The sequence below is a fragment of the Homo sapiens genome, chromosome 16 (assembly GCF_000001405.40).
Source record: "Homo sapiens chromosome 16, GRCh38.p14 Primary Assembly".
Classification (NCBI taxonomy): domain Eukaryota; kingdom Metazoa; phylum Chordata; class Mammalia; order Primates; family Hominidae; genus Homo; species Homo sapiens.
In genome coordinates this window covers 4,768,186-4,776,976 of record NC_000016.10, presented here as the reverse complement: position 1 = coordinate 4,776,976, position 8,791 = coordinate 4,768,186, and the positions used below count along the sequence as shown (strand labels likewise).

The 8,791-nt window shown below is 50.8% G+C and overlaps 1 annotated feature.

The window, feature by feature from the left end:
- Nucleotides 8,497–8,576: an enhancer, noted in NCBI's record as "active region_10344". NCBI's record gives its function as "activates an Ori minimal core promoter by ATAC-STARR-seq in GM12878 lymphoblastoid cells {active_cell/tissue: GM12878}" and the evidence as "EXISTENCE:reporter gene assay evidence [ECO:0000049][PMID:35858748]".

Sequence of the window (8,791 nt, the reverse complement as noted above, 5' to 3'; positions counted from 1 at the left end):
AGTTTCACTCTGTCGCACTGGCTGAAATGCAGTGGCATGATCTGGGCTCATTGCAACCTCTGCTTCCCGGGTTTAAGAAATTCTCCTGCCTCAGCCTCCCGCGTAGCTGGGATTACAGGTGCCCACCACCACGCCCAGCTAATTTTGTGTTTTTAGTGGAGACGGGGTTTCACCACGTTGGCCAGGCTAGTCTCAAATTCCTGACCTCAAGTGATCCATCTGCCTCAGCCTCCCAAAGTGCTGGGATTACAGGCATGAGCCACAGCACCCAGGTTTCTTTTTGAATAATGTGAGACCCAAGGCCCTAGGAATCTTGAAGGCCTGGGAAGGCATGCCTTGGACAACCAGCCCCCTCTGCCCCAGAGCCAGACCCAAGTGACAAAATCAGCTCTCCCATCTGTCCCAGCCCCTTACTCCTGGCCCGGGGCTAGGCCCACAGGCCAAGAACACTTTCAAAATCCCCATCTTTGTGGCCTGATCTCTGGCTGTCTTACCTGATCTCTGTGTTCCACCATCCCCCACCTTCCTCATTCCCCTGCCCCAGGGGCCAGCATGGCCAGCAAACAGCTCCCACTGTGGAGCCTGGCAATGCCAGTGTGAAAATCCCAGCAGGCAAGTCAGTTACTTATGCTCCCCTTGCCTCACTTTCCTCATCTGTAAAATGGGGATCATGGTACCAAGCACATAGCACTGTTGTTCAGACAAAATAAAATACTCCCTAGGATGTGCCGACCACAACCTGGAGAAATGGCATGAAGACAGAGGCTACATGATCAAGATGGAGCAGCAGTCCAGGGTGGAGGACCTGCTGCAGAATGTGTGAGCTCCACAGCCCAGGGACTCTCCAGAAAGCTAGAAAATAGGCCGGGCACGGTGCTCACGCCTGAAATCCCAGCACTTTGGGAGGCCGAGGCGGGCAGATCACCTGAGGTTAGGAGTTCGAGACCATCCCGGCTAAAACGGTGAAACCCCATCTCTACTAAAAATACAAAAAATTAGCCGGGCGTAGTGGCGGGCGCCTGTAGTCCCAGCTACTTGGGAGGCTGAGGCAGGAGAATGGCATGAACCCGGGAGGCGGAGCTTGCAGTGAGCCGAGATCCCGCCACTGCATTCCAGCCTGGGCGACAGAGCGAGACTCCATCTCAAAAAAAAAAAAAAAAAAAAAAAAAAATTAGCCGGGCATGGTGGTACGCACCTGTAATCCCAGCTACTCAGGAGGCCGAGGCAGAAGAATCACTTGAACCCAGCAGGTAGAGGTTGCAGTGAGCCGAGATCACACCGTTGCACTTCAGCCTGGGCAACAGAGCGAGACTCCATCTCAAAAACAAAACAAAACAAAACAAAAAAGCTAGAAAATAAATGGATTTCACAGAATCCCACACCATGGGGGCCAAAGCTACATTAGTCATTAGTTTGGTAATAAAAGAAAGGGCTACCCCTCTAATCTAGGAAGCTGGGTGCAAGGTGAGCCTTCAACAAATGACAACAATGAGTAGCAGTTTTGTTCCAACTAAAAGTCACCTTCTCCCTGAAGCCCTCCTTGCCTTCCCCAGGCAACCCACTCACTGCCCCCTCTGAGTGTGTGTCACCTAGTTTGTTTCCTGGTCAGTCTCCCCCATTAGGCTGGAAACATAGTGAGGGCAGAGATATGTCAGTTTCATCCCTGCATCCAGTGCATGGCAGGTGGTAAGAACAGGGCTGCTGACTGAACAGAACGGACCCTGCATTGCCTGCCCTACAGCGATCTGCTGGTTGAATTCACAAACCAGCTTCTCCACCCACACCGCAGGCTGACTCCAGGACTGGGGAGCTTCCAGAGCCCGTGGGCACTCAAACCACCCACGACCAACATCTGAGTTGGCTGAGACACTGGCCCACGTCACAGCACATCCCAAGGTTTAAGATTAGCCCTGGGCCCGTCCGGGAGGGAGGTGGGGGTGTCAGCCCCCCGCCCGGCCAGCCGCCCCGTCCGGGAGGGAGGTGGGGGGGTCAGCCCCCCGCCCGGCCAGCCGCCCCGTCCGGGAGGTGAGGGGCGCCTCTGCCCGGCCGCCCCTACTGGGAAGTGAGGAGCCCCTCTGCCTGGCCACCACCCCGTCTGGGAGGTGTACCCAACAGCTCATTGAGAATGGGCCATGATGACAATGGCGGTTTTGTGGAATAGAAAGGGGGGGAAGGTGGGGAAAAGATTGAGAAATCGGATGGTTGCCGTGTCTGTGTAGAAAGGGGTAGACATGGGAGACTTTTCATTTTGTTCTGTACTAAGAAAAATTCTTCTGCCTTGGGATCCTGTTGATCTGTGACCTTACCCCCAACCCTGTGCTCTCTGAAACATGTGCTGTGTCCACTCAGGGTTAAATGGATTAAGGGCGGTGCAAGATGTGCTTTGTTAAACAGATGCTTGAAGGCAGCATGCTCGTTAAGAGTCATCACCAATCCCTAATCTCAAGTAATCAGGGACACAAACACTGCGGAAGGCCGCAGGGTCCTCTGCCTAGGAAAACCAGAGACCTTTGTTCACTTGTTTATCTGCTGACCTTCCCTCCACTATTGTCCCATGACCCTGCCAAATCCCCCTCTGCGAGAAACACCCAAGAATGATCAATAAAAAAATAAAATAAAATAATAAAAATAAATAAAAAAAAAAGATTAGCCCTGGGCAATATGGAAACATCTACAGCATTTCAAAAGCACACACCCTTTGGCTCAGCCGTTGCATTTCTAGGAATACATCTCACAGACCAGGTTTCTCAACCTCTGCACCACCAGCACTTGTGCTAGATCATTCTATTTCTTCTCCTTCTTCTTCCTCTTCTTCCTCTTCTTCTTCTTCTTTTTGAGACAGGGTCTTGCTCTACTGCCCAGGTTGGAATGCGGTGGCTCAATCATAGTTCACTGCAGCCTCAACGTCTCAGGCCCAAGTGATCCTCCCACCTCAGCCTCCTGAGTAGCTGGGACTACAGGCACATGCCACCACACCCAGCTAATTTTTTTTTTTTTTTTAAGATGGAGTTTCGCTCTTGTCACCCAGGCTGGAATGCAATGGCACAATATTGGCTCACTGCAACTCTGCCTCCCGGGTTCAAGAGATTCTCCCGCCTCAGCCTCCCTACTAGCTGGGATCATGGGTGCGTACCACCATGCCCGGCTAATTTTTGTATTTTTAGTAGAGACAGGGTTTCACCATGTTGGCCAGGCTGGTCTTGAACTCCCGGCTTCAGGTGATCTGCCCACCTCAGCCTCCCGAATAGCTGGGATTACAGGCTCCCGCCACCACACCCGGCTAATTTTTGTATTTTTAGTAGAGACGGGGTTTCACCATGTTGAGTAGGCTGGTCTCAAACTCCTGACCTCATGATCCGCCCGTCCCGGCCTCCCAAAGTGCTGGGATTACAGGCATGAGCCACAGTGCCAGGCTTTTTTTTTTTTTTTTTTTGAAAGTTAATCAAGAAGGCTGGGTCATGCCTGTGTAATCCCAGTACTTTGGGAGGCTGAGGTGGGCAGATCACCTGAAGCCGGGAGTTCAAGACCAGCCTGGCCAACAAGGTGAAACCCTGTCTCTACTAAAAATACAAAAATTAGCCGGGCATGGTGGCACGCACCCATGATCCTAGCTACTAGGGAGGCTGAGGCGGGAGAATCGCTTGAACCTGGGAGATGGAGGTTACAGTGAGCCAAGATCGCACCACTGCACTCCAGCCTGGCCAATAGAGTGAGACTCTGCCTCAAAAAAAGTTTATTAAGAAAGCAAAGGGGCCGGGTGCTGTGGCTTATGCCTGTCATCCTAGCACTTTGGGAGGCCAAGGTGGGTGGATCACGAGGTCAGGAGATCGAGACCATCCTGGCTAACATGGTGAAACCCCGTCTCTACTAAAAATACAAAAAATTAGCCAGGCATGGTGGCGGGCGCCTGTAGTCCCAGCTACTCAGGAGGCTGAGGCAGGAGAATGGCGTGAACCTGGGAGGCGGAGCTTGCAGTGAGTGGAGATCACGCCACTGCGCTCCAGCCTGGGCGAGAGAACGAAACTCTGTCTCAAAAAAAAAAAAACAAAAAAAAAAACGAAAGCAAAGGAATAAAAGAATGACTACTCCACAGGCAAAGCAGCCAAAGATTTTTTTTTCTTCTTTTGAGATGGGTTCTAGCTGTCACTGAACCTGGAATTCCGTGGGCATGATCTCAGCTCACTGCAACCTCTGCCTCCTGGGCTCAAGCGATCCTCCCACCTCAGCCTCCCAAGTAGCTAGGACCACAGGTGCATGCCACCATGCCCAGCTAATTTTTTTTTTTTGGATTTTTGGTAGAAACAGGGTTTTACAATGTTGCCCAGGCTGGTCTCGACCTCCTGAGCTCAAGCCATCTGCCCGCCTCAGCCTCTGAAAGTGCTGGGATTACAGGCTTGAGCCACCGCACTGGGCCCCTCAGCTAATTTTTATCTAGTGTTGTAGAGATAGAATCTCACTATGATGCCGATGCTGGTCATGAACTCCTGGGCTCAAGAGATCCTCCTGCTGCAGCTTCCCAAAGTGCTGGGATTACAGGCACGAGCCACCTCACCCAGTCTAGATCATTCTTTGTGGTGGGGACTGTCCTGTACACTGTAGGATGTTTAGTAGCATCCCTGGCCTCCACCCACCAGACACCAGTAGCAACTCTCACTTTGTTGCTAATTAAAAATTATCCTGGGGCCAGGCACAGTGGCTCAAGTCTGTAATCCTGGCACTTTGGGAGGCCGAGGCAGGTGGATCACCTGAGGTCAGGAATTTGAGACTGGCCTGGCCAAAACGGTGAAACCCCGTCTCTACTAAAAATACAAAAATTAGCCAGACGTGGTGGCAGGCGCCTGTAATCCCAGCTACTCGGGAGGCTGAGGCAGGAGAATTGCTTGAACCCGGGAGGCAGAGGTGGCAGTGAGCCAAGATCGTGCCATTGCACTCCAGCCTGGGTGACAGAACAAGACTCTGTCTCAAAAAAAAAAAAAAAAAAAAATTATCCAGGACAAGTCACGTGTCCCCTGGGGGAAGCATAGCACCCCCACATTGTGCACCACTAACTGTTATGCGCATGTGTTAGGGGATCCCCCAAGGCTGTCCAGTGTTGTAAAGGAGGGGAAACAGCCTCCCTGGCCACCCAGAGCACTACATTCCATATGTTTTCACTTCTTGTGGCTGCTGTAACAAATTAGCACAAATGCAGAGGCTTAAAACAACACACGTGTATCCTCCTATAGCTCCAGAGGTCAGGAGTATGAGATCAATATCACTGGGCCAGAATCAAGGTGTCTACAGAGCCCTGCAGCCTCTGGAGGCTCTTTTTGAAGATTTAATTATTTTATTTTTGAGACAGGGTCTCTCTTTGTCACCCAGGCTGGAGTGCAGTGGCACAATCTCAGCTCATCACAACCTCCGCCTCCCAGGCTCAAGAAATCCTCCTGCCTCAGCCCCCCGAGTAGCTGGGATTAGAGGCGTGTACTACCCTGCCTGTCTAATTTTCGCATTTTTAGTAGAGATGGGGTTTCGCCCAGCCCCAGGCTGGTCTTGAACTCCTGGACTCAAGCAATCTGCCCTCCTCGGCCTCCTAAAGTGGTAGGATTACAAGTGTGAGCCACCATACCTGGCCTTCTAATTTTTCTTTTTTCTTTTTTCTTTTTTTTGAGACGGAGTCTCGCTTTGTCACCCAGGCTGGAGTGCAGTGGCGCGATCTTGGCTCGCTGCAACCTCCGTCTCCCGGGTTCACACCATTCTCCTGTCTCAGCCTCCCGAGTAGCTGGGACTACAGGCGCCTGCCACCACGCCCGGCTAATTTTTTGTATTTTTAGTAGAGACGGGGTTTCACCGTGTTAGCCACGATGGCCTCGATCTCCTGACCTCATGACCCACCTGCTTCAGCCTCCCAAAGTGCTGGGATTACAGGTGTGAGCCACCGTGCCCGGCTTTTTTTTTTTTTTTTTTTTTAAGACGGAATCTGGCTCTGTCGCCCAGGCTGGAGTGCAGTGGTGCAATCTTGGCTCACTGCAACCTCCGCCTCCCTGGTTCAAGCTGTTCTTCTACCTCAGCCTCCCTAGTAGCTGGGATTACAGGTGTGTGCCACTATGCCTGGCTAATTTTTTGTATTTTTAATAGAGACGGGGTTTTGCCATGTTGGCCAGGCTGGTCTTGAACTCCTGACCTCAAGTGATCTGCCTGCTTCGGCCTCCCAAAGTGCTGTGATTACAGGCGTGAGCCACCGCACCTGGCCTATTTAAGATTATTTATTAAAACATTTGGTAGGTTTTAATACTTCATGAATACAAATTCAAAATAATGGCTTTTGTTGTTGTTTTTAAAAAGCACATTAATGGCCAGGCGCGGTGGCTCACACCTGATAATTCCAGCACTTTGGGAGGCCAAGGAGGGTGGATCACCTGAGATCAGGAGTTCAAGACCAGCCTGGCCAACATGGTGAAGACCCGTCTCTACTGAAAATACGAAAATTAGCTGGGTGTGGTGGTGCATGCCTGTAATCCCAGGTACTTGGGAGGCTGAGGCAGGAGAATCGCTTGAACTCAGGAGGCGGAGGTCTCAGTGAGCCCAGATTGCGCCACTGCACTCCAGCCTGGGCAACAGTGAGAGTCTGTCTCAAAAAAAAATAAAATAAGTAAAAATAAATAAAAAAATATAAATAAATATAAAAATATAAATATATAAATTAAAAATAAATAAAAAGCACATTAAAACTTGCAGTTTTTGCCCCCTGAACCTTCCCCCCATCACATCCCTCTTCAACGTTTGCCCCATCACCATCCTGAATTTGGTGTTCATCCAAGTCCCAAACATTTCTTTGAACCGCATACATGTCTCTAAATCATATGTAGAATTGTTTTGCATTTTCAAAATTTATGAAAATTGTATCATATTGCCACTTGCCTTTTTTTGTTTGGCATAGCCTCCGTGAGATTTATCCATCATTCTCCTGTTGACTAACATTTAGACTGTTTTCGGTTTTGCCATTACAAACAACACTGCCCTGAACACAGAGGTAGTCTTTATTACTAACAGAATTAGGACATATTAAGCCTATATGTGTCTGACGTTCTGTTCTGTCTCTTTACCATAATGGTGCCTACTGCAGGTGATGTTACCATCCCCATTGTACAAAGGAGTTATCCTTGTCTCCCTCCTCCACCCCAAGCTAATCAACCACCAAGCACTGTTGAATGTGCTCCAGGAATCTTGGCCAGATCCTTGTCAGTGACTACCACCATCACTAGTTACCCCAACTCTGGACCACTCCAGGAGCTTCCAGCTAGTCTCACTGCTCCTCTCCAGTCTTTCTGAGATCTGTACTCCACAAAGCTTCTTATCTGATCACGATGCTATCCTACTTAAAACCCCAAACTCTATTGACTCCAAGGATAAAATCCTTAATCCTCACCAGAGTCTCCAAGTATGGTCAGGCCTTGCCCATCCCTCCAGCCACATCTCCCAATCTCTGGTCTCCATTCTGTTCCTCAAACGCACCGTGTTCTCTCCGGCCCCAGGACCTTTGCACTTTTCACTCCTGCTGTCTGGAATCCTCCCCACCGGTTCCCCAGGTTAACCCTAGGCTGCTCAACTGTCACTTCCACCCTGAAGGTATCAGGTTCCCTCTTTTACGCCGCTTGCTAACATTTGCCAAAGAAGTGATTAAACAATTCTTCGTGCAATTTTGTCCACTGTATGCCTCTCATGGTAATTTTGTCCACTGTATGCCTCTCATGGCAAGCTCCATGAAAGCAGGCACCTGCCACCACTCCATCACCCGAGCGCCTAGTTAAGGGGGCAGTTGGGAGGACTCAACGTGCAGCGTTTATGCATTTATTATGCCTGGATGAATGGTCTTGAATGAGTTACAACCTTGAGGGTTAATGTCCCCCATTAACAGATATGGAAACTGAGGTTCAGGGCGCGCAAGGGAACCGCCCGCAGTCTCGACGACAAGGACGCTGCCACCGGGAGACTGCAGCCCCTTCCTCCGAGCCCCTGGCAGTGCCGCCACTTGAGGAGACCCTCCAGGCCGCCAACCCACCCCCTCTAGAGCGCCCAGGAATCTGCCTCCGGGGAGGGCGCGGGGCGCTCTGGGAAATGTAGTCCTGCCAGCTTCCTGAATCCGGCGTCCCCAAATTTGTTTCCGGCGGGCTGAGTCCTAGCCGATGCTTTGGGAAAGACGCGCGAGATTCCGGGGGTAGATCCGGGATGCGAGGCGGGGCGCGCATGCGGGGCGGAGCTTGTGCGGGGCGGGGCGTACGTTGAGTGTACGCCTGCTGTGTATGCTGCGTTGCTGCTCACCCGAACTCGGTGCTGGGACTCTTTCCTGGGCACCCCAGGCAGAGGGAAACTCCGGATCATGTTCAACCAAAGAGGAAAAGCAGCGAGAATCCAGCATAGGAGACGGGCCTTAGGATGCCCAAGTTAGGATTAGGGGCAAACTACGTTAACCTGGTAGTTAGGAGCTGAAGTTCTGGAATCAAAGATTTGGGTTCCAATCCCATTTCTGTACTTCCTGTTTGACCTTCTCTGGGGGGTTCAATACTTAAAACTCTCAGAGCTTCAGGGTTTTGTTTTGTTTTGTTGAACCGGTAGGTCTAGTTATAGTACCTCTATTACTAAATGAGGAAGAAACGAAGTACAAATGTGTTTTGCTTGCTTGATGCTCAAGAATTGATGCGACCGGGAGCGGTGGCTTACTCCTGTAATCTCAGCACTTTGGGAGGCTGACGTGGGTGGATTGCTTGAGGCCGTTGGAGACCAGCCTGGGCAACATGGGGAAACCCCATCT